General features: G+C 47.3%; 2 protein-coding genes across 75 annotated transcripts in view; both read left to right on the top strand.

The window, feature by feature from the left end:
* PMS2 (PMS1 homolog 2, mismatch repair system component) overlaps positions 1-23543 on the top strand; it is a 38182-nt gene extending 14639 nt beyond the window's left edge. For 42 of the 65 annotated variants that reach the window (NM_001322008.2, NM_001406881.1, NM_001406895.1 and 39 more), the window contains 7 exons: positions 2411-2495; positions 4513-4668; positions 6848-7709; positions 11477-11644; positions 15772-15872; positions 16711-16880; positions 20926-23543. In NM_001322008.2, the coding sequence (NP_001308937.1) occupies positions 2411-2495; positions 4513-4668; positions 6848-7709; positions 11477-11644; positions 15772-15872; positions 16711-16880; positions 20926-21069 (1686 nt within the window). In that variant the 3' untranslated portion in view covers positions 21070-23543. Of the gene's footprint in view, positions 1-2410; positions 2496-4512; positions 4669-6847; positions 7710-11476; positions 11645-15771; positions 15873-16677; positions 16881-20925 lie in introns of all 65 variants that reach the window. The other 23 variants (NM_001322010.2, NM_001406902.1, NM_001406906.1 and 20 more) reach the window with 8 other exon arrangements.
* A 73-nt stretch (positions 23544-23616) lies between these two features.
* Positions 23617-25192, top strand: part of RSPH10B (radial spoke head 10 homolog B) — a 44716-nt gene continuing 43140 nt past the window's right edge. For 2 of the 10 annotated variants that reach the window (XM_011515207.1, XM_011515203.1), the window contains exons 1-2: positions 23859-23953; positions 24133-24185. The gene's annotated coding sequence lies outside the window, so the exon portion shown is untranslated. Of the gene's footprint in view, positions 24186-25192 lie in introns of all 10 variants that reach the window. The other 8 variants (XM_011515212.4, XM_017011870.3, XM_011515208.4 and 5 more) reach the window with 8 other exon arrangements.

The raw sequence follows: 25192 nt of genomic DNA, 5'->3' as shown, positions 1-25192 counted from the left end.
TTTATCAGGACATAACCCTATCATAAGTTAAGGAGCGCATCTATCTGTGTACAGTTTTTTTTGTTGTTGTTTTTTGGGTTTTTTTTTGAGATGGAGTCTCGCCCTGTTGGCCAGTCTGGAGTGCAATGGTGCGATTTTGGCTCACTGCAACCTCCACCTCCCGAGTTCAAGCGATTCTCCTGCCTCAGCCTCCCAAGTAGCTGGGATTACAGGCGCGCGCCACCACGCCCGGCTAAGTTTTTGTGTCTTTAGTAGAGACGGAATTTCACCATGTGGCCAGGATGGTCTTGAAATCCTGACCTCGTGATCTGCCTGCCTTGGCCTCCCGAAGTGCTGGGATTACAGGCGTGAACCACCGCGCCTGGCCTCTGTATAGTTTTTTAAATTGCATATACGTGAGTGTGTTTGTATCTGCATATATACATTATATGTGTTGTGTGTATAGATACATAAATATATAAACACATATTACCAGTATATTTATTATTGTAAAAACTAAAACTATTTGAAGAAACTAAACATTTTATAACATTCTATGTCACCTTTCAGTATAGACTGATTACATGGTTTCTATATTTCCTTTTTTTTTTTTTTTTTTTTTTTTTGAGACAGAGTCTCGCTCTGTCACCCCCAGGCTGGAGTGCAGTGGCATGATCTCTGCTCACTGCAAGCACCGCCTCCCAGGTTCACGCCATTCTCCTGCCCCAGCCTCTCTAGTAGCTAGGACTACAGGCACGCATCACCACACCCGGCTAATTTTTGTATTTTTAGTAGATACGGGGTTTCACCACATTGGCCAGGCTGGTCTCGAACTCCTGACCTCGTGATCCACCCGCCTCTGTCTCCCAAAGTGCTGGGATTACAGGCATGAGCCACCGCGCCCGGCCCATGGTTTCTATATTTTCTATAGATTTCTATATTTTCTCTTCTTTCTATTTTCCTAGGAAAATAAGGGCTCAGATTACTTCTGCCTCAGATTTAAATTGATCATCTTGATATGATGACATGGGTTTTTTGAGTTTGTATCTTAGCAACACATTGTACCTCAGTAATATTTTGTTTTTTTTTCTTTCTTTCTTTTTTTTTTTTTTTTTTTTGAGACGGAGTCTAGCTCTGTCGCCCAGGCTAGAGTGCAGTGACGTGATCTTGGCTCACTGCAAGCTCTCCCTCCCAGGTTCAAGCAATTCTCCTGCCTCAGCCTCTCAAGTAGCTGGGATTATAGGCACATGCTGCCATGCCTGGCTAATTTTTTGTATTTGAGTAGAGATGGGGTTTCACTGTGTTGCCCAGGCTAGTCAAGAACTCCTGAGCTCAGGCAATCCACCTGCCTTGACCTCCCAAAGTGCTGGGATTACAGGCGTGAGCCACCGCTCCCAGCCCCTGTTTTTCAATGATGCTTTAGAGTTTGCTTGTAATCTGCCAGATGTGGTTGAACTTCTAAATTTTTTAACCTATAGTGTGATGGATTCATAATTATTAATTATAACTATTAATAATGTGATATTTTGGTTTATTTCTAATGACATTTTAATGTCATAGATACTTTTCTATGTACATTGAATATGTTTTATGAACATTTAAGCTGCACTTGCATTTCACTAGAATTTCTCATAGAGCAACTTTAAGTTGGAAAAATATTCAGTTTTAGGAATCTATGATTAGAGAAATATCACTTTGAGATTGTGAGGAAACTTTTGGTGATGGATATATTCATTATCTTGATTGTGGGGATAGTTTCACAGGTGTTTGTGTATATGTCAAAACTTATGAAATTGCACACTTTAAATATGTGTAGTTTATTCCATGTTAGTCATATCTCAGTAAAGCTGTTAAAAAAATGTATCCTTAGGCCAGGTGTAGTGGCTTACGCCTATAATCCCAGCACTTTGGGAGGTTGAGGCGGGCGGATCAACTGAGGTCAGGAGTTCGAGACCAGCCTGGCCAACATGGTGAAACCCCATCTCTACTAAAAACACAAAAATTATCTGGTCATGGTGGCGTGTGCCTGTAATCCCAGCTACTCTGGAGGCTGAGTCAGGATAATCACTTGAGCCCCGGAGGCAGAGGTTGCAGTGAGCCAAGATCGTGCCATTACACTCCAGTCTGGGTAACAAGAGCGAGACTCCGTTGAAAAAAAAAAAGAAAAAAAAATCCTGCCTGTAATCCAAGTTACATGTCAGGCTGACACAGGAGGATCACTTGAGCCTGGGAGGTTGAGGCTGCAGTGAGCCATGATTGCTCCACTGCACTCCAGGCTGTGACAAGGCGAGACCTTGACTCAAAAAAAAAAAAAACAAAAAAGTATCCCCTTCTAAGAACATGCTGGTTGGTTAGAATAGAATGTTGTTAGAATGCGGGGGGCTGGGAACATTTGTCATTTATTCTTTTCTACTCCTTGTATTTTGTGCAGGTCTGCAGACTCGTGAATGAGGTCTACCACATGTATAATCGACACCAGTATCCATTTGTTGTTCTTAACATTTCTGTTGATTCAGGTAAGTTCCATTGGCATTTCAGTACAACTAGTGACTAATGCCTCAAAGAATAAAATGAAATTCTACAGCTCTGCTATGACTGGAATGAGATAACAATTTATGGTCATGTAAGTTTTTTGTTTTTGTTTTTTTTTGAGACGGGGTCTTGCTCTGTCACCCAGGCTGGAGTGTGGTGGCGTGATCTCGGCTCACTGCAACCTCTGCCTCCCGGGTTCAAGCGATTCTCCTGACTCAGCCTCCCAAGTAGCTGGGACTACAGGTGCGTGCCACCACACCTGGCTAATTTTTTGTATTTTTAGTAGAGACAGGGTTTCACCGTGTTAGCCAGGATGGTCTCGATCTCCTGACCTCGTGATCTGCCCGTCTTGGCCTCCCAAAGTGCTGGGATTACAGGCATGAGCCACCGTGCCTGGCCCTATAATTTTTTTTTTTTTTAAACAGAGTTCCCGCTTTCTACTTGAGACTATGTTAATTATATTGTTAGGAAAATGTAATTTTTTTTAATGTCAACCAAGGGAGAAAGTAGATGAAATGTTCTTCCTAATTTCATAAATAATTCATTTCATATAGATTTTTTTTTCTGATTGTTAAAATTTTGGTTTATTGTAATTGAGTATTTTTTCTAGATACTTAGAAACACATATGTACATACCTTAAAAAATATCTTCTGTCCTCTCTCTCTTTCTCTCTCTCTCCCCTACTCCCATATTCTTTGGGATGAGAAAATAATTTTGTATACTGCTCTTTATCCTTAGATGTGAATGTTTTCTTTTCCATGTTATTAGAAATTGATCAGAAATGTGGTTTTAATAGGTGAATTATATTCCAATGCATGGTTATAGTTTGGTATTTTAATTTTTAAATTTTTCAAAATTAAATTGTTTTTAGTTTTTGGAAATTATAAATACTTTCCTTATAATTAAATCATTATCTGCATCTTTATTATTAGATATTTTTTGAGACAGAGTCTTGCTCTGTCTCCCAAGCTGGAGTGCAGTGGTGTAATATCAGCTCACTGTAACCTCCGATTCCTGAGTTCAAGCGATTCTCCCGCCTCAGCCTCCTGAGTAGCACGGATTACAGGCACCTGCCACCATGCCTGACTAATTTTTTGTGTTTTTAGTAGAGACGGGGTTTCGCCATGTTGGCCAGGCTGGTCTTGAACTCCTGACCTTAACTTATCTGTTCGTCTCAGCCTCCCAAAGTGCTGGGATTACAGGGTGTGAGCCACTGCACTCAGCCTACATCTTTAATTATTCTGAATATAAATTGCCGGGAGTAGAATTACTGGGTCAGTGAATATGATCATTTTAAGGCTTTTTCTGTATTGTGTTCTAGATGTACCAATTTACACACCTACCTATAATGTACTAGGTATTATAATTGTTAAGCTAAATTCAGTAGGGGATTAAAATATCTTATTTTAGTTTGCATATTTAAAATTATTTTTATGTGTTTATTTGCTTTTCCTTTAACAATTTACCTAATTAAGCCCTTCCGTATTTTGTCTATTCAAAAATTGTCTTTTGCTCATTTATTTGAAAAAGCTGATTTCATAACTTATGAATCTTAACCTGGACACTGTAATGTTTTTAATAGCACTTGTGATAAATACAAGTGAATGAAATAATAGATGGGGAAATTTCTATTGTTAAAAGTGAATTTGGCTGGGCGCGGTGGCTCACGCCTGTAATCCCAGAACTTTGGGAGGCCAAGGCGGGTGGATCACTTGAGGTTGTGAGTTCGAGACCAGCCTGGCCAACACGGTGAAACCCCATCTCTACTAAAAATACAAAAATTAGCCAGTGTGGTGGCACTTGCCTGTAATCCTAGCTACTTCGGAGGCTGAGGCAGGGAGAATCACTTGAACCCAGGAGGCGGAGGTTGCAGTGAGCTGAGATCGCGCCACTGCACTCCAGCCTAGGCGACAGAGTGAGACGCTGTCTGAAAATAATAATTAATAAATAAAATAAAAGTGAATTTAAACATAATAAATATGTTTTCTTTTTTGCCTTAGAATGCGTTGATATCAATGTTACTCCAGATAAAAGGCAAATTTTGCTACAAGAGGAAAAGCTTTTGTTGGCAGTTTTAAAGACCTCTTTGATAGGAATGTTTGATAGTGATGTCAACAAGCTAAATGTCAGTCAGCAGCCACTGCTGGATGTTGAAGGTAAGAAAAATACAGTGTACAAACAGCTTCTAAAGCTTTTAGCTAATGTGTTTCCTTATTTTTTCCAAGTAAACTTTTTTTTGACATGAAAACAAAGTCTCTTATATTATTTTATCATTTTTAATTCTTTTTTGAGACAGGGACTTGCTCTGTCACCCAGGCTGGACTGCAGTGGTGCCATTGTAGCTCACTGCAGCATCACACTCCTGGGCTCAGGCCATCTTCCTGCCTCAGCCTCCCAAGTAGCTGCCTCCAAGTACCTCTAGTTTTTTGTAAACTGTAAACGGATGAAGTCATATAAGATATATGATTAGAAGAAGTCTGCAGTGACTGCATTTTTAACTCCCTTGTCATGTCTGTTTTTTTGAGATGGAGTTTCGCTCTTGTCACCCAGGCTGGAGTGCAATGATGCGATCTCAGCTCACTGCAACCTTGAAGCCTCCCACGTTCAAGAGATTCTCCTGCCTCAGCCTCCTGAGTAGCTGGGATTACAGGCGCCCACCACCACACCTGGCTAATGTTTGTATTGTCATTAGAGATGGGGTTTCTCCATGATGCCCAGGCTGGTCTCAAACTCTTGAGCTCAAGCAGTCCTCTAGCCTTGGCCTCTGAAAATGCTGGGATTTCCTGACTTCTAACAGTAGAATTTAGGCCAGGCGCAGCGGCTCATGCTTGTAATCCCAGTACTTTGGGAGGCCAAGGCGGGCGGCTCACGAGGTCAGGAGATCGAGACTATCTAACACGGTGAAACTCTGTCTCTACTAAAAATACAAAAAATTAGCCGGGCGTGGTGGCGGGCGCCTGTAGTCCCAGCTACTCAGGAGGCTGACTCAGGAGAATGGCGTGAACCCGGGAGGAGGGGCTTGCAGTGAGCCAAGATTGTGCCACTGCACTCCAGCCTGGGTGACAAAGCGAGACTCCGTCTCAAAAAAACAGACAAACAAACAAAAAAAACCCAAAACGGTATAGTTTAATCTGTTTTTAATTTGAAGTTATTCAGTCTGTCCTTTTCTGTGATTTGTTTCTTTCTCTCATTATTTTGTTTGTGAGATTCACCCAAGTCATGTGGCAAAATTCATTTATTCGTTCGCTATACAGTGTTCCATTATAGTCAGATATCATCATTTGTGAATATTTGAATTGTTTCCAGTTTGGGGCTATAATGAAGAATGCTGTCATGAACATCCTCATCCACGTCTTTTTGACGAGCATAGATAGGCACTTCTTTCTTTTTTTTGAGAGGGAGTCTCACTCTGTCGCCCAGGCTGGAGTGCAGTGGAGTGATCTTGGCTCGCTGCAACCCTGCCTTCCAGGTTCAAGTGATTCTCCTGCCTCATTCTCATTCTCCCTAGTAGCTGGGATTATAAGTGCATTCCACTATGCCCTGCTAATTTTTTTTTTGTATTTTTAGTAGAGATGAGGTTTCACCATGTTGGTCAGGCTGGTCTTGAACTCCTGACCTCAAAGGGCTAGGATTACAGGCGTGAGCCACTGTGCCGGCCAATAGGCACTTCTGATAGGAGTAGCTATGCTGGGTTGCAGGTGTGCATACATTCAGATTTAGGAGGTATTCCCAGAGAACTTTTCAAAGCAGCTGTACCAGGTTCATTCCTACCAGAGGTATTCAGGCATTCCTCTTGATCCTGATCTTTGTGAGCATTTGTTGTTTTTTTAATTTTACCATTCTGGTGAGTATATGGCCATATTGCATTGTGTTGTGGTTTTTTTTTTTTTTTTTTTTTTTTTTGAGACAGAGTGTTGCTCTGTCACCCAGGCTGGAGAGCAGTGGTGGCATCTTGGCTCACTGCAACCTCTGCCTCCCGGGCTAAAGGGATTCTCGTGCCTCAGCCTCCCAAGTAGCTGGGATGACAGATATGCCACCACACCCGGCTAATTTTTGTATTTTTAGTAGAAACAGGGTTTTACCATGTTGTCCAGACCAGTCCTGAACTCCTAGCCTCATGTGATCCCCCTGCCTTGGCCTCCTAAAGTGCTGGGATAACAGGCGTAAGCCACCACACCTGGCCCATATTATAGTTTTATTTTGAACATTGAACTGTGTTCATCTGTGTAATTAGCATGTGGATCTCCTCTTTTGTGAAGTATCTGTTCACATAAGCACGTCCTCTCACCATTTCAGGATAGTCCCTGACCCTCTTCTCCGTCCACGTTTGCTTAGGTAACTTAATAAAAATGCATGCAGCGGATTTGGAAAAGCCCATGGTAGAAAAGCAGGATCAATCCCCTTCATTAAGGACTGGAGAAGAAAAAAAAGACGTGTCCATTTCCAGACTGCGAGAGGCCTTTTCTCTTCGTCACACAACAGAGAACAAGCCTCACAGCCCAAAGACTCCAGAACCAAGAAGGAGCCCTCTAGGACAGAAAAGGGGTATGCTGTCTTCTAGCACTTCAGGTGCCATCTCTGACAAAGGCGTCCTGAGACCTCAGAAAGAGGCAGTGAGTTCCAGTCACGGACCCAGTGACCCTACGGACAGAGCGGAGGTGGAGAAGGACTCGGGGCACGGCAGCACTTCCGTGGATTCTGAGGGGTTCAGCATCCCAGACACGGGCAGTCACTGCAGCAGCGAGTATGCGGCCAGCTCCCCAGGGGACAGGGGCTCGCAGGAACATGTGGACTCTCAGGAGAAAGCGCCTAAAACTGACGACTCTTTTTCAGATGTGGACTGCCATTCAAACCAGGAAGATACCGGATGTAAATTTCGAGTTTTGCCTCAGCCAACTAATCTCGCAACCCCAAACACAAAGCGTTTTAAAAAAGAAGAAATTCTTTCCAGTTCTGACATTTGTCAAAAGTTAGTAAATACTCAGGACATGTCAGCCTCTCAGGTTGATGTAGCTGTGAAAATTAATAAGAAAGTTGTGCCCCTGGACTTTTCTATGAGTTCTTTAGCTAAACGAATAAAGCAGTTACATCATGAAGCACAGCAAAGTGAAGGGGAACAGAATTACAGGAAGTTTAGGGCAAAGATTTGTCCTGGAGAAAATCAAGCAGCCGAAGATGAACTAAGAAAAGAGATAAGGTAAAGTTTTAATTTTTTACTTTTTCTCTTTTTATCTAAAATTTTTATTTTTATTTTTTATTTTTTTGAGACAGAGTCTTGCTCTGTTGCGCAGGCTGGAATGCAGTGGCATGATCTTGGCTCACTGCAGCCTCCACCTCCCGGGTTCAAGCGTTTCTCCTGCCTCAGCCTCCTGAGTAGCTGGGATTACAGGTGCACGCCACCATGCCTGGCTAATTTTTATATTTTTGGTGGAAACAGGGTTTCACCATGTTGGCTGGGCTGGTCTCGAACTCCTGACTTCAGGTGATCCAGCCACCTTGGCCTCCCAAAGTGCTGGGATTACAGGTGTGAGCCACCACACCCGGCCAGGTAAAGTTTTTTCTTAAGAGTATTTTGAGGCTAGGTGTGGTGGCTCACACCTGTAATCCCAGTACTTTGGGAGGCCAAGCCAAGGAGGGAGGATCACTTGAGCCCAGGAGTTCAAGACCAGCCTGGACAACATAGGGAGACCTCGTCTCTACAATAAAATTGGCTGGGCGCGGTAGTGCGCAGTTGTAATTCCGGCATCTGCGCCTGGCCAGATCCTGTTCTCTGTGGCAGGACACAGACTCCAAACACATGGAAGACTTGGGTCTTTTAGGCCAGCACCAGCTTTTGAGCAGATTATCTATGTACTGGGAACCAGGGCATATTCAGACAATTCCTGGGAGAGCCTGGGATCGGCGCCAGGGGAGGTGGTATTTGTGCTGGCATCTGGGATGCTTCTGGGATGTTCTTTTCCTTCCCTCCTGTGCGGCAGGAGTTCCTGTGTCATCACTCACTCTGGCAGCTTCTCTCCATCCAGCAGGCTGCGGCCACTCCTGCTCCAAGGAGGTCTGAAACTCAGCCTGAGTGGGTAGGAGCCTCTTACAAGAGTTCCTTTTCTGCTGGGCATGGTGGCTCATGCCTGTAATCCCAGCACTTTGGGAGGCTGAGGTGGGTGGATCACCTGAGGTTGGGAGTTCGAGACCAGGCTGACCAACATGGAGAAACCTTTTCTCTACTAAAAATGCAAAATTAGTGGGATATGGTGGTGCATGCCTGTAATCCCAGCTACTTGGGAGGCTGAGGCAGGAGAATTGCTTGAACCCGGGAGGTGGAGGTTGTGGTGAGCCGAGATTGCACCATTGCACTCCAGCCTGGGCAACAAGAGCGAACTCCATCTCAAAAAAAAAAAAAAGAAAAAGAAAAAAGAAAAAAAGAGTTCCTTTTCTGAGGACTCTCCCTCTTCCCTAGGATAGTAGCATTTTCCATTCCTGTATTTCTTAGCATAGTAGTTAACCACCTTTTACTAGTTTGTGTAATGCCTTATTATACATTTTTCCTCCTCAGGCCTAACATGGTGGTGCACACCTTGTAATTCCAGCACTTTGGGAGGCTGAGGCAGGAGAATCACTTGAGGCTAGGAGTTTGAGACCAGCCTGGGCAATATAATGAGGCCCCATCTCTAAAAAAAAAAAAAAAAAAAAAAAATTAGCTAAGTACATTGCTGTACGCCTGTAGTCCCAGGTACTCAGGGGGCTGAGGCAGGAGGCTCACTTGAGCCCAGGAGTTTGAGGCTGCAGTGAGCTATGATCATGCCATTGCACTCCAGCCTGGGTGACAGAGCAAGACCCTGTCTTAAAAAAAAAAGTCCCTGTTAAAATCACTGGTGTGGTTTTTGTCTCTTGATTGATTGCACTCTGCCTGATCTGGAATTGGTACCAGGAAACAGACCCTCAAAGATAGGATTTGGGGACTGGTTTGGTTATGACTTGGATTTGAGCTCTGTGTGGAGCCCCTCACCATAGGAAATGTGGGCTCAGTAATCCATGCCATGTGGAGGTCTCACAGTTCACCAAACTGTCCCCTGTGGTTGATTGTGATGGTGACGAGCATGGTGGCATGGGACCGGGTCTTCCTGGAGCACTTATAGAAAGAAACAACAATATCAGCTCCTTTGTTTTTTTTTTGAGACAAGAGTCTCACTCTTTCGCCCAGGCTGGAGTGCACTGGCACGATCTCAGCTCACTGCAAGCTCTGCCTCCCGGGTTCAAACGATTCTTCTGCCTTCGTTTCCCAAGTAGCTGGGAGTACAGGTGTCCACCACCATGCCTGGCTAATTTTTTTATTTTTAGTAGAGATGGGGTTTCACCATGTTGGCCAGGCTGGTCTTGAACTCCCAACCTCAAATGATCTGCCCACCTTGTCTTCCCAAAGTGCTGGGATTACATTACAGCTGCTTTCATCCTCAGCTCAGGCCACCAGGTGAGAACCAGAAAACGTCCATGGCTGCTTTAACAGAGCCATTTCTTGTCATCACCGCGCTGATACTGCGGAAAATCCATTTTCACCGGATTTAATTGTGTGGGACTGAGAATGACAGTGTCAATTTCTCGTGTGAAGGTTAGCGGTGGTGTCTGTCTTTTGTCCAGATTGACTAAGTTAGTATTTAATGACATTAGATGTTGAAGCCACCCGCAAAGGACCCAGTGGTGGGCCTGGCAAAGATGAGAAGGATTGATATCCAGCATTGGCAGAAAGGTGCTCTTACACACCATTGGTGGGAGTGTGACTTTTCACAGATTTCCCGTCAAGAAGTACATATGTAGTTCTCCCTCTAGCGTCTGTCTCACGGAAATGCACCCACAGATGAGTAGGTTTATGCACAGAAGTATTTGTTGCAGCTTTGAGTGCGCTATTGAAATTGGAAACAACTGAAATGTCCTTTAGTAGGGGATTTGTCAGACAAATTATGGTACATCCATGCAATGAATTCCTATGTGGCCATTAAAAAGAATGAAGTAGGCCAGGTGCGGTGGCTCACGCCTGTAATCCCAGCACTTTGGGAGGCCGAGGCAGGTGGATCACTTGAGGTCGGGAGTTCAAGACCAGCCTAGCCAACATGGTGAAACCTTGTCTCTACTAAAAATAAAAAAATTAGCCGGGCTTGGCGGTGCATGCCTGTAGTCCCAGCTACTCGGGAGGCTGAGGCAGGAGAATCGCTCGAACCTGGGAGGCGCAGGTTGCAGTGAGCCACGGTCACGCCACTGCAGTCCAGCCTGGGCAACAGAGAGTGAGACTCCGTCTTAAAAGAAAAAAAAAAAGAAAAAATAATGAAGTAGATCTATGTGTACAGGTCTGAAAACTTGTTTCAGATGCATTAAGTGATGACAGAATGGAGAATTAAGATTCCATTTTTGTTTTTTAAAATTAAAAAAAATTATATATGGAGACAAGGGTCTAGAAGGATATATTCCATTTAAATCGTTAATAGTAGCAACTGATGTCTTCTCCGGAGAGTTGGATGAATGAATAATTAATGTTATCTTTAGAAAGTGGGATGGTTAAGCCGAACGCAGTGGCTCACGCCTGTAATCCCAGCACTTTGGGAGGCCAAGGCGGGCAGATCATGAGGTCAGGAGTTCGAGACCAGCCTGACCAACATGGTGGAACTCTGTCTCTACTAAAAATACAAAAATTAGCTGGGCATGGTGGCGCACCTGTAATCCCAGCTACTCAGGAGGCTGAGGCAGAAGAATCACTCGAACCCGGGAGGTGGAGGTTGCAGTGAGCCAAGATTGTGCCATTGCACTGTAGCCTGGGTGACAGAACGAGACTCTGTTTCAAAAAAAAAGAAAGCGGGATGGCTAGGGACTTTATTTTGTTTTTGTATTGTTTGACTTTTTTTTTATTACAGTGTTCTATAACATAATCAGAAAAATAATCTTGTAAAATGTCTGATAATTAACATTTTCTACCTGCAGTAAAACGATGTTTGCAGAAATGGAAATCATTGGTCAGTTTAACCTGGGATTTATAATAACCAAACTGAATGAGGATATCTTCATAGTGGACCAGCATGCCACGGACGAGAAGTATAACTTCGAGATGCTGCAGCAGCACACCGTGCTCCAGGGGCAGAGGCTCATAGCGTGAGTGTGTTTAGTGTTCATTCCCAGACTCCCCCTCAAATTGAAGATCTAATAGAGGCCAAGGCAGGAGGATCACAAGAGGCCAGGAGTTTGAGACCAGCCCGGACAACACAGCAAGACCTTGTATCTACTTTAAAAAAGAAGAGATCTAGGAAGGAGGGGTGTAAAAAATAAAAAATATCTAGTTGGCCAGGCGCGGTGCCTCACACCTGTAATCCCAGCACTTTGGGAGGCCGAGGCAGGCAGATCACCTGAGGTCAGGAGTTGGAGACCAGCCTGGCCAACGTGGTGAAACCCCGCCTCTACTAAAAATACAAAAAGGCCAGGCACGGTGGCTCACGCCTATAATCCCGGCACTTTGGGAGGCCGAGGTGGGCAGATCACTTCAGGTCGGGAGTTCGAGACCAGCCTGACCAACATGGTGAGACCTGTCTCTACTAAAAATACAAAATTAGCCAGGCGTGGTGGCGGGCGCCTGTAGTCCCAGCTACTTGGGAGGCTGAGGCAGGAGAATCGCTTGAACCCGGGAGGCGGAGTTTGCAGCGAGCCGAGTTCGTGCCATCGCACTCCAGCCTGGGCAACAAGAGTGAAACTCCGTCTCAAAAAATAATAATAATGATAAAAAATAAAAATACAAAAAATTAGCTGGGCATGGCAGTGCACGCCTGTAATTCCAGCTACTCAGGAGACTGAGGTAGGAGAATCGCTTGAACCTGGGAGACAGAGGTTGCAGTGAGCCGAGATCGCACCACTGCACTCCAGCCTGGGTGACAGAGCGAGATTCTATCTCAAAAAAAAAAAGAGACCTAATAGTTTATATGTGTGTCTATATGTATATATGTATTTTTCCATAAGTATTCATATAGCAGATTTTTATACTTTTTACATAATAGTGATAGTTACCATTTATTCAGTGCCTAGAATCTGCCAGGCACTGTTGAAATAATGTATGTGTATTAGTTCCTTTAATCCTCAAAAACCTATGGGGTTGTTACTGTTACCATCACCATTCCACAAGCGATAAAACTGAGGCACATGCAGAGAGGTTGAGTAACCTGCCCCAGTTCACGTGGTTAACATGTTCTCTAAGTATCAGGTATTTTTCGCTATTAAAAATGTTGATCACTGGTTAGCCAGAAGATCCTTCTGATGAGGGCAATTGATAGTATGGAGTATTAGTATGCATAGTGTATGGAATGTGTGTGTTCAGAAAGACAGACAGCCTGTGCGCCAGTGTTGATTGACAGTAGAGTAATCAGAAGTCAGATAGTCACTGCAGGTTGGATGCAGGGGCACACGCCTGTAATCCCAGAGCTTTGGGAGGCTGAGGCAGGCAGATCCCTCGAGCTTAGGAGTTTGAGACCAGCCTGGGCATCATGGTGAAACCTTGTCTCTACAACAAATGTAAAAAATTAGTCAGACTTGATGGTGTGTGCCTGTGGTCCCAGCTATTCGGGAGGCTGAGGTGGGAGGATCGTTTGAGCCCAGGAGATTGAGGCTGCCATGATCGTGCCACTGCACAGCTCTCCAGCCTGGGTGACAGAGTGAGACAGTGAGACTCTGTCTCACAAATAAATTAATAAATAAAATAAAATAAAATTTAAAAATTATTTTAAGATAGTCACTGCAGAATTTGGTATTTCTCTCTCCTCGGCCAAACTGGAATGTTTTACCCTGACTACTTCACAAAGGTCAGGTGTGATAGTATCATGTAAAACCAAAGTCTTGTCTTCAGCAAAGTTAGAAGAAGAGGTCATGGATTTTCGTGTGGGAAATTAAACCACGTAGTGAAGTAAACTCAGATCCCAACAAGTAGATCCCACATGGAGAAATGTACCACTGAACCTGTGTAGTTTGCTGAGTACTCTCCTGTGTAGTTTACTGAGTACTCTCCTGTGTAGTTTGCTGAGTACTCTCCTGTGTAGTTTGCTGAGTACTCTCCTGTGGAATGCGTGAATTGTTTTTATTCTCAGTAGGAGGCAATGGTAATAATAGACATTTAGTAAGCTACTTTATATCCCTTCCCTGTTCCTCTTAATAGAGGTTTTTTGTTTTTGTGTTTTTGAGACAGAGTTTCACTCTTTCGCCCATACTGGAGTGCAGTGATGTGATCTCGGCTTACTGCAACCTCTGCCTCTCGGGTTCAAGTGATTCTCCTGCCTCAGCCTCCCGAGTAGCTGGGATTACAGGCACCCGCCACCACACCTGGCTAATTTTTGGATTTTTAATAGATAGGGAGTTTTGCCATGTTTGTCAGGCTGGTCTTGAACTCCTGACCTCAGGTGATCCACCAACCTCAGCCTCCCAAAGTGCTGGGATTACAGGTGTGAGCCACCATGCCCGGCTGAGGTCTTGTATTTTTTAGCCATTCGGCAAAGATAACCTCTCATCTGTGACATTTCAAGTTGGCCCAGGTAATCACAGACCACTTAGGGTCCCAGATGGACCACACTTCAAGATTAAAGGATAAAGACCCAGTTCCACCCTGCCCTGCCAGCCCCTGTGTAGGGTGGCCCTGTTGACCTCTGTAGCTTTTCCCGTTCGTCTTCCCCTTGTTCCCTGTACTCAAGCCTCTCTGGCTGTCTTTCTTTTTCCCTTGGCAGGCCTGATGAATCCCTATGTGGCCACTAAGCAGAATGAAGGATATCTTTATGTGTGGCTCTGCAAACATCAGCGGTCCATCCTGGGGCTTGGCACAGATTGTTGTCCCTGTCTAGAATACTTGTCCTGCACCCTGCACCCACTTCTCCCCCGTTACCTGATTAACTCTCTTATCCCCGGACTCAGCTCAAAGGTCACTTCCTGACCCCAGGGTGAAGTCTCTCTATGACACTGGCTGCTTTTTCTTCCTGACCTTCCTGTCGTTTCTCATCATAATCGACTTGCCTGAGTATTTGCTCAACGTCTTTCTTCCCCGGTAATCTGTTGGCTCCAGGACCAAGCCTGTGTTTGCTCACCAGCTGTCTCCTGCCTTGAGCAGTGTTTGTCTTATCCAGCACTCAGGACCAGATGCAGTGGCTCACACTCGTAATCCCAGCACTTTGGGAGGCTGAAGTGGAAGGATCGCTTGAGCCCAGGAGTTTGAGAGCAGCCTGGGCAACATAGTGAGACCCTGTCTCTATCTTTGAAAAAAATAACGAAAGGTTAAAAAAAAACAAACAGTAAATCCAGGAGGAGAGAGGGATGGAGATATAATACAGGCAGAGGAAGGAACAGGATAGCAAAATAAAAGCTGTCTGTTCATTCTGTTTACAAATGCTGGCAATGACCTAACCCAGTGTTTCAAATTCTGTATTAGAAGGAGGAAAAATAGCATTTTTGTGATACTGTTATCCTTAAGGAAAGGATTCAGAAAAAGTGGGAGTCATTGGCGTGGCAGGCTGAGGAAAAAGCAAACTACTTTTGTAGCTACTTGAACTTTTTTTTTTTTTTTGAGACAGAGTCTTGCCCTGTTGCCCAGGCTGGAGTGCAGTGGTGTGATCTTGGCTCACTGCAACCTCCACCTCCTGGGTTCAAGCAATTCTAGTGCCTCAGCCTCCCGAGTAGCTGGGATTACAGGCATGAGCCACCACTTCCAGCTAATTTTTGTTTTTATGGGTGTTTTTTTTTTTTTTTTTTTTTTGAGACAGAGTCTTGTTGTGTCGCCCAGGCTGGAGTACAGTGGCGTGATCTTGGCTCTCACTACAACCTCTGCCTCCCTCCTGGGTTCAAACGAATCTCATGCCTAAGCCTCCCAAGTAGCTGGGACTACAGGCGTGCGCCACCATGCCTGGCCTAATTTTTATATTTTTAGTAGAGAGAGTGTTTCGCTGTGTTGACCAGGCCGGTCTCAAACTCCTGGCCTCAAGAGATCTGCCTGCCTCGGGCTCCTAAAGTGCTGAGATTACAGGCGTGAGCCACCGCACCTGGCCTGTAGCTACTTTAACTTCTAAAAAGAACTTTAAGAAAGAGAAAATTAAAAGGAACTTCTCAGGAAGTTTTGTGACACTTAGCTGAGTAGTGTTGTTATTTGTGTTGTTATTTTGACATGAATTCAAAATACAGTATTGTTGTTTTCATTTCATTTCTGCTGTAAAGCTAAATGTTTGACTTCAGGATATGGTTTGAATCATTTTTGTGTTTTTCAGACCTCAGACTCTCAACTTAACTGCTGTTAATGAAGCTGTTCTGATAGAAAATCTGGAAATATTTAGAAAGAATGGCTTTGATTTTGTTATCGATGAAAATGGTAAGTTATTAATTAGAACTATAGCGGCTGGGTGTGGTGGCTCACGTCTGTAATCCCAGCACTCTGGGAGGCCAAGGCGGGCAGATCGCCTGAGGTCAGGAGTTTGAGACCAGCCTGGCTAACATGGTGAAACCCCATCTCTACTGAAAATACAAAAAGTAGCCGGGCGTGGTGGCGGGTGCCTGTAATCCCAGCTACTCAGGAGGCTGAGGTGGGAGAATCGCTTGAACCCGGGAGGTGGAGGTTGCAGTGAGCCGAGATCACGTCACTGCACTCCAGCCTGGGCAACAAGAGTGAAACTCTGTCTCAAAAAAAAAAAAAAATCAGAACTATAGATTCTTGTCTTTTTAGAGCTGGGAATAATCTTTCAGGTCATATAGACCAGTTTTTTTTAATTTTATAAAAGATTAAAAAGTTCCTCCAAAAAGCATTTTGTGAGTTTCCTCTCTTTCAGGTGTTCACTTTTTTTTTTTCTGAGATGGAGTCTTGCTCTGTCGCCCAGGCTGGAGCGCAGTGGTGCCGATCTCGGCTCACTGCAAGCTCCGCCTCCCAGGTTCACACCATTCTCCTGCCTCAGCCTCCCGAGTAGCTGGGACTACAGGTGCCTGCCACCACACCCAGCTAATTTTTTCTATTTTTTAGTAGAGACGGGGTTTCACCATGTTAGCCAGGATGGTCTGTATCTCCTGACCTCATGATCCGCTGGCCTCAGCCTCCCAAAGTGCAGGGATTACAGGCGTGAGCCACCACGCCCGGCCTCAGATGTTCATCCTAAGTAGCTTTCAAGTGAAACGTGTTTGTCAAGTCATGGATTTTTCTCAAAATTGTATTCTTTTAGCTCCAGTCACTGAAAGGGCTAAACTGATTTCCTTGCCAACTAGTAAAAACTGGACCTTCGGACCCCAGGACGTCGATGAACTGATCTTCATGCTGAGCGACAGCCCTGGGGTCATGTGCCGGCCTTCCCGAGTCAAGCAGATGTTTGCCTCCAGAGCCTGCCGGAAGTCGGTAAGTAAAGAAAGCCTGGCTGTCAGCTCAGCTGCTCAAGCTTGCAGTCGAGGAAGGTCTCAGCCCAGCTCCTGATTTGGTCAAGGTTGTAAACGCCTTTGTGATTGCCAGGGGTCATTTTACACAGAGAGCTACGTGCAGCGTCGTAGCTGAGCATCTGTGTCGTCTGCGTTCTCTGTGACCTTGAACTCATAATTATTGCTCTTTTGTTACCTCTGTTAAGCAGTATTCTTGGCCGGGCATGGTGGCTCAAGCCTCTAATCCCAGCACTTTGGGAAGCTGAGGCGGGCGGATCACGAGTTCAGGAGATCGAGACCATCCTGGCTAACATGGTGAAAGCCCGTCTCTACTAAAAATACAAAAAAATTAGCCGGGCGTGGTGTCGGGCGCCTATAGTCCCAGCTACTCGGGAGGCTGAGGCAGGAGAATGGCGTGAACCCAGAAGGCGGAACTTGCAGTGAGCCAAGTTCATACCACTGCACTCCAACCTGGGCGACAGAGCGAGACTCCGTCTCAAAAAAACAAAAAAAACCCAGAATTCTTCTTTTTTTTTTTTTTAGACAGATTCTCCCTCTGTCCCCCAGGCTGGAGTGCAGTGGCACAATCACAGCTCACTGCAGCCTTGACGTACCAGGCTGAAGCGATCCTCCTCTCTCTGTCTCCCAAGTAGTTGTGACCACAGGCATGCACCACCATGCCCAGCTAATTTTTAAATTTTTTGTAGAAACATGGTCTCCTTTTGCCCCTTGTCTCAGCCTCCCAAAGTGCTGGAATTACAGGCATGAGCCACTGTGCCTGGCCCGGCCAGTATTCTATCTCCGAGCTTTGGTTGACTCCAACGCAGTTAGCGTTTGAGGTACCTTGTTCGTCTATGGACCTTATGGGTCATAACAACATTGGGAGATAAAGATTTGCTGCTGCCAGGACTCGGCGACATTGGACACGATTCTGCAGAGTCATCGAGGCAGCAGGTGCTTCACGGGGTGCCGTGGTTGTCATTGCACGTGGCGTCACTGCCGCTGCTTCGGTTGGTGTGGGAAGGTGGCAGCAGTGGTTCTGCCTGCAGTGGGGATTAGCCTGATGTCCAAGAAAAGTGACTGTGTATCAGCTGGCCACTGGGAAGGGCCAGGACGCCATTCCTTTATTTATTCAGCAGGTGCTCCTTGAGCCCCTGATGTGGGGCCCGCCCTGCTCCAGGTGCTCGGGACACAGAGGTAACAAGGCGGCTGCAGCCCCTGCCCCTGTGGAGCAGACAGTGGGGAGAAATAGGCATCACCACAAATAAATGACACGCATTAGATGCCAGTAAGCACAGTCAAGAGATTCAAACAGCATTTTTCTTTGTCTGTTTTTGAGACGGAGTCTCGCTCTGTTACTAGGCTGGAGTGCAGTGATGTGATCTCAGCTCACTGCAACCTCCGCCTCCCAGGTTCAAGCGATTCTCCTGCCTCAGCCTCCCAAGTAGCTGGGACTACAGGCACCCACCACACCTGGCTAATTTTTATATTTTTAATAGAGATGGGGTTTCACCATGTTGGTCAGGCTGGTGTTGATCTCCTGACCTCATGATCTGCCCGCCTTGGTCTCCCAAAGTGCTGGGATTACAGGCGTGAGCCACCGCACCTGGCCTAAAACAGCGTTTTGGGGCAGGAAATGACAAGAGAAAAACATGGTGACCAGGTGAGATGGTGGTCAGGGAATGGCATCTGGGCAGGTGGCATCTCAGCTGCCATCTAAAAGGTGGGATGGAAGCCAGGCATGGTGGCTCACACGTGTAATCCCAGCATTTTGGGAGGCCAAGGCAGGAGGATTGCTTGAGGCCAGGAGTTAAGAGACCAGCCTGGGCAACACAGGCAGACCCCATGTGTACAAAAAATTAAAAGATTAGCCAGGTGTGGTGGCATGTGCCTGTAGTCACAGCTACTCAGGAGGCTGAGGTGGGAGGATCACTTGAGCCAGGGAGGTCGAGGTTACAATGAGCCAACATCACGCAACTGCACTCCAGCCTGGGTGACAGAGTAAGACCTTGTCTCAAAAAAAAAAAAAAAAAAGGTAGAATGGAGCCCTCTTGGGTAAGAACTTTCCAAGCGAAGGAAGTAGCAAGACTGAAGCCAGAGGCTGATTGTGTCCCTGGAGAGGGGAAGGGAGTGAGCAGAGCGGCGTCCAGAGGACAGCCACGTAGAGTGTTGCCGGTCATACCTAGACCCTGGGGGTCTGTGCTGTGTGTGGCACGAGCCACTGGAGAGAACAGACGGGAAGGAGTCCCGTGATTGCAGCTGCTGGAGAGAGAACAGACTGGAAGGGGTGCGGTGGCTGCGGCCGCTGAGGAGAGCAGCAGCTGGGGGCCACGTGGGGAGTGGGTGGGATGGAGCCTGCTGTGTGAGCTTCAGGTGTAATTTACAGCCATGAGATTAGATGAAATGACTCAAGGGCAGAGTTTAATTAGAAGAGGGCCCAGAGTCTGACTTCTAGCCACAGTGTTTCTTGGATAAAGACCTAATAGGGGCTGGGCGTGGTGGCTCACACCTGTAATCCCAGCACTTTGGAAGGCGGAGGTGGGTTGATCACCTGAGGTCAGGAATTTGAGACCAGCTTGGCCAACATGGTGAAACCCCATCCCTACTAAAAGTACGAAAATTAGCTGGGCATGGTGGTGGGCGCCTGTAATCCCAGCTACTCGGGAGGCTGAAGCGGGAGAATTGCTTGAATCTGGGAGGCGGAGTTGCAGTGAGCTGAGATCGCACCATTGCATTCCAGCCTGGGAGACAGAGTCTCTCCACCACCCCTGACCTCACCAAAATAAAAGACATAATATGGATCTTCCAGTCTTGGAGTCTGTGAGTGAGAGCGTGGAGCTGAGCTCATAGCCGGGCAGTTTTGATGTCCTGAGTTTAGTGTGACTCAGTGGCCCGGGGAACCACAGGCTGCTCCTTCCCTCTCGCCCTGGCCTACCCGTCCATCTCCGGTGTTGTCACTGCCTGCCCAGGAGGCTCCTGCTTTGAGCCCTGCCCACCCTTCCAGCCCCATCTCCCCACCATGTAGCTTCCAGCCATGTAGCTGCCTTCCAGTTCCACGCTCGCCTCAGTCTCCTCCCTGCCTTACACCCTTTCTCCCTACTCTCCTCTCTACCTGGGTTTGCCACCGTCACCCTTCACCCCATCCCCACACCTGAGCAGGCCGCCTCGCCTGGTGCCACCTGTCTTGGTTCTCTGTTGACTTGTTGATTGTCTGTCCTTCTCCAACCTGCTGTCACCCCAGCCTTCTGACTGTGCTTGGCACATGGCGAGCCCTCAGGGTGCTGCAGGAAGAAAGAAGGTGACATTGGGCTTCAGGCTTGTGTCCTCTCCTTCCTGTCAGAGGACCCATGGCAGGGAGGCAGCAGGGCCAGGGCTGGAGTGCTATGGGCAGCAGGTCGGAGCTCGACAGAGGGGGAGTGACGCCTGCACCCATTGGGGGAGAGGGTCCCGGGAGTGCCACAGTCCCAAGGCAGGTGTTTGCGTGATGGGCCTGTGCAAGAGGAAGGGAGTAGCAGTGCAGCTGGGGTGAGGAAGGGAGGCATTCGTGCTTGGAGGTGGGGGTGCAGGCACAGCCCAGCGAGGGCCAAGTCAGGGGACAGACGGGGGCTTTTATTCAGGTGAGGGGGAGAGCTGTGAAGTGGAATGAATAACCTGACAGCCCTTTAAAAGTAATCACTGGCTGCTGAGTGGAGAGCGGCTCGGAGGGGTCGCAGTGGGGCAGGGAGGCCTGCTGGGAGGCTGCTGCACCTGCCAGGGTGAGAGGGCAGGGTGGCTGCTGAGACAGGTGTGGTCGGCGTCTGGAGTGGAGGCGGTGCCACCTTGAAGGAGCCACAAGGAGCCTGATTTCACAGAAGGGTGGAGGGCTGAGATCTAGAACCTAGGCTTCTCTGGGGGAAGGTTTTTCAGGGAAGGTAGTTTTTGAGCTGTAATCTTGTCCAGCCTTATTTTAGAGAAGAATGCTTCTGAAGAGCTGCCATTCTGACGTCAAAAAACTACTAAAACGTTGAACCATTGTGTCTCACACTCAGGTGATGATTGGGACTGCTCTTAACACAAGCGAGATGAAGAAACTGATCACCCACATGGGGGAGATGGACCACCCCTGGAACTGTCCCCATGGAAGGCCAACCATGAGACACATCGCCAACCTGGGTGTCATTTCTCAGAACTGACCGTAGTCACTGTATGGAATAATTGGTTTTATCGCAGATTTTTATGTTTTGAAAGACAGAGTCTTCACTAACCTTTTTTGTTTTAAAATGAACCTGCTACTTAAAAAAAATACACATCACACCCATTTAAAAGTGATCTTGAGAACCTTTTCAAACCAGATGGAGCATTGCTTGCAAATTTTTTTTCTCTATGTTTGCATGCGCTCGTGTGTGTGTGTCCAGGCAAGAACACATTTTATAAAAATAAGAACACTTGGGCTGGGCATGGTGGCTCATGCCTGTGATCGCAGCACTTTGGGAGGCCGAGGCCGGCGGATCACCTGAGATCAGAAGTTCGAGACCAGCCTGACCAACATGGAGAAACCCTGCCTCTACTAAAAATACAAAATTAGCCAGGTGTGCTGGCGCATGCCTGTAATCCCCGCTACCCAGGAGGCTGAGGCAGGAGAATCGCTTGAACCCGGGAGACGGAGGTTGCAGTGAACCGAGATTGCGCCACTGCGCTCCAGCCTGGGTGAGATAGAACAAGACTGTGTCTCAAAAAACAAAACAAAACAAAACAAAAAAAAAAAAACCAAACCACTTTGGAAGTTACTCAGGCCTCTGCTCTGGCTGGACATAGTTTAGTCTATAACTTTCAACCCTTAATGATAATTAAATTCATCTTTGTTTAATTTCATAAATTTAAAAGTAGGGTCCTTTTCAGTTAGTGATTCTCAGCCCTGATTCACATTAAATTTTTAAACACGGGGGATTCTCTGCCCGGCTGGAAGAAAATGACTGGATGGGACAGGGGTCACTATTTGAAACATTCCTCTGTGCGGCCAAGGTCGCAAAATGCTGTCCTCGCAGGGGAACAAAAAGAGTTTGATTTCCCATAATTTGATGCTGTGATTTGGTTTCCTCAGGATGTGAACTGTAGAACATTCCAGTTACTGGCCTTGAATGGTTCTGGGAATATAAGAATCCCTGTCTGTCTTTTCAAATAGTTTTCATGGAACCTTGTCCTGTTTGAACTTGGCTGAAAATGGAAGTAAAGATGCCCTCTTGGGGGCCCAGAGATGACAGATGTGGCTCCCCCTGCTGCCCCCACCCCTTCTCCAGACTGTGGGCGGCTCCCCTTCCTGCTTTAGAATCCCTCAGATGGAGGAGGCAGTACAGTAGTCACTGTGCCATCGTGTCTGGCACTGTGCTGGCGTGGTCTGCAGGATCCCACTTATGAACTCTCCAGATTGGGAGCTGTGGCAGGATAACAGCCCCCAAGACAGCTGTGTCCTAATCCCCAGAACCTGTGACCACGCTGCCTCACGTGGCAGAAGGGACTCGGCAGGTGTGATTGAGTGAAGGATCTTTTTTTTTTTTTTCTTTGAGATGAAGTTTCGCTCTTGTTGCCCAGGCTGGAGTTCAATAGCATGATCTCAGCTCACTGCAGCCTCTGCCTCCCAGGTTCAAGTGATTCTCCCACCTCAGCCTCCCGAGTAGCTGGGATTACAGGTGTCCAGAACCATACTGGCTAATTTTTGTATTTTTAGTAGAGACAGGGTTTCACCATGTTGACCAGGCTGGTCTCGAACTCCTGACCTCAGGTGATCCGACCGCCTCGGCCTCCCAAAGTGCTGGGATTACAGGTGTGAGCCATCATGCCTGGCTGAGTTAAGGATCTTGCAACAGAGAGATTATCCTGGATTGTCTGGGTGGGCCCAGTCCATTGGGTGAGTCCTTCAAAGGTGGAGACCTTTCCCTGCTGGCCAGAGAGAGGCTGTCTTGCTGGTTTTGGAGATGGAAGGAGGTACCACTAGTCAAGGATTGCAAGCAGTCTCTAGAACAGGGATTCCAACACTCCGGACACAGACCAGTAGTGGTCCATGGCCTATTAGGAAGTGGGGTGCACAGCAGGTTAGGGGCCGGCAAGCCAGCGAAGCTTCATCTGTATTTATAGCCACTCCCCGTCGCTGGCGTTACCACCCGAGCTCCGCCTCCTGTCACATCAGCGGTGGGCATTAGATTCTCATAGCAGCACGAGCCCTATTGTGAACTGCACACACGAGGGATGTAGGTTGCACGCTCCTTATGAGAATCTGATGCCTGATGATCTGTCACTGTCTCCCGTCACCCCCAGATGGGGCTGTCTAGTTGCAGGAAAACAAGCTCAGGGCTCCCACTGAGTCTCTGTGATGGTGAGTTGTAGAATTATTTAATTATATGTTACAATGTAATAATAGTAGAAATAAAGTGCACAATAAATGCAATGCACTTGAATCGTCCTGAAACCATCCCTCCCCGACCCCAATCCATGGAAAAATTGTGTTCCGCGAAACCGGTCTCTGGTGCCAAAAAGGTTGGGGACCGCTTCTGGAAAAGCTGGAAAAGGCAAGAAAACGCATTCTCTCCCTCAGCCTCTGGAAGGAACCAGCACTGTGGGACTAATTTACATACTGTAGGGTAATAAATTTGTGTTGCTTCGAACCACTAAATTTATGGTAATTTGTTTGCGGCAGCAATGGAAAACTAATGCCTGCGTTATTCCTATTTTATGATGAAGCAGTTAGCAGAGCTGGGAAAACCCTGGCCTGCTGCCTCCAGCGTCCAGCCTTTCCCCCGGCCTTCAGGACCAGCAAGGGCGGGACACCTGCTTGGCGCTGGCGCGCGGCCCCTTTAAGAGCACAGGGTGGGCCTGGCGGCGTCCGCGGTTGCCTGGAGACCGGAGCCGGGTCTGGGACGCCGAGAGCCCGGCAACACCTCAGCCCGAGCCCGGCGAGGTCTCTGGGCTCCTGGAGCGAGGTGAGCGCCCCAGGCCGCGGTCCTGCGTACGCCGGGACAGCCATGGCGACTGGGTCCTGCTCCTTCCCGGCCGGACTGACGCGGCCTCCCAGGACCCGAGCACGTGCGTGATGGGCGAGGAGGGCCTAGGCCGGGCAGACCAGTGCAGGGAGCCGATTCTTCCCGGCTCACCGTAGACACAGGAGAGAGATGGCCTCTCCTTAAGCCCAGGAGAACAGAGGAAACATTAGGAAACGCACTGAGAAACGAAATTGGCTTGATTTGTAGTTCACTTATTTGTAGATCACTGACAGAAGACCGAAAAGCTCGTAGTAAAGGCCCCTCTAAATTTAGAGGTGAGAGCACCTTGGGCTAGGGGACCCAGGGGCGGCTTCGCTGAGACAGTAGTCGGGGGCGGGAAGGAGCAAGGGTGTTGGAAGGAAGCGAGAAGGCTTGGCCGGGCGCGGTGGCTCACGCCTGTAACCCCAGCACTTTTGGGAGGCCGAGGCGGGCGGATCACCTGAGGTTAGGAGTTTGAGACCAGCCTGGGCAACATGGTGAAACCCTGGCTCTACTAAAAATACAAAAATTAGCCGGGAGTGGTTGCAGGCACCTGTAATCCCAACTACTTGGGAGGCTAGGGCAGAAGAATCACTTGAACCCGGAAGGTTGCAGTGAGCCAAGACTGTGCCACTGCACTCCAGCCTGGGTGACAGAGCGAGACCCTGTCTCAATAAATAAATAATGGAGGAAGAGAGAAGGCTGGAGATGGGTTCAGCTGGAGGGTGGGGTGTCCAGAGGATGGCATCCAGGAAGAAGAGGGCAAGAAGTGCCCACTGCACCCGTCGGGGCCTACGAAAAGGGACCAGACCTGGCCTTCACCACAGGGCTCACCTATGCATCCTGCCTGATGGACCAGGGTGCTTTCAGCGGGGCCAGATTAGGAAAGCCATGAAAACTATGGCTTTGAAACCCTGCACCGCAGCTCATATGCCAGACAAGCAAAGATATGCGCTGGAAACGGAGCTCGAGCAACGATGCGCTGGAAATACAGCTCAAGCAACCATGCGCTGGAAACGCAACTCCAGCACACCGGTCCTTGCTTGTCCGGCATATGAGAGGCACTCAATCGATGGCAGTGCTAGAGGGAGTGGGAAACCAATGATTTCAAGTTTGAAAACAGGAAAGGGACGAGATAATCACTCAATTTATTGACTTTGCTCTGTATCCTGTACTTAGGGATTTTTCTGTGTGTCATCGGTTTAATTCTTATGAGACAAGGTTCTGTTATTTCTATTTGTGAGGCAGAGGAGATTAAGCAGCTTGCTTCAGAACACAGCACTTGGCCGAGCTCAGTGGCTCA

This window comes from Homo sapiens, chromosome 7 (assembly GCF_000001405.40).
Source record: "Homo sapiens chromosome 7, GRCh38.p14 Primary Assembly".
In the NCBI taxonomy this organism is placed as follows: domain Eukaryota; kingdom Metazoa; phylum Chordata; class Mammalia; order Primates; family Hominidae; genus Homo; species Homo sapiens.
Note: the sequence above shows the minus strand (reverse complement) of the source record. Positions and strands in the feature narration are given on the sequence as shown.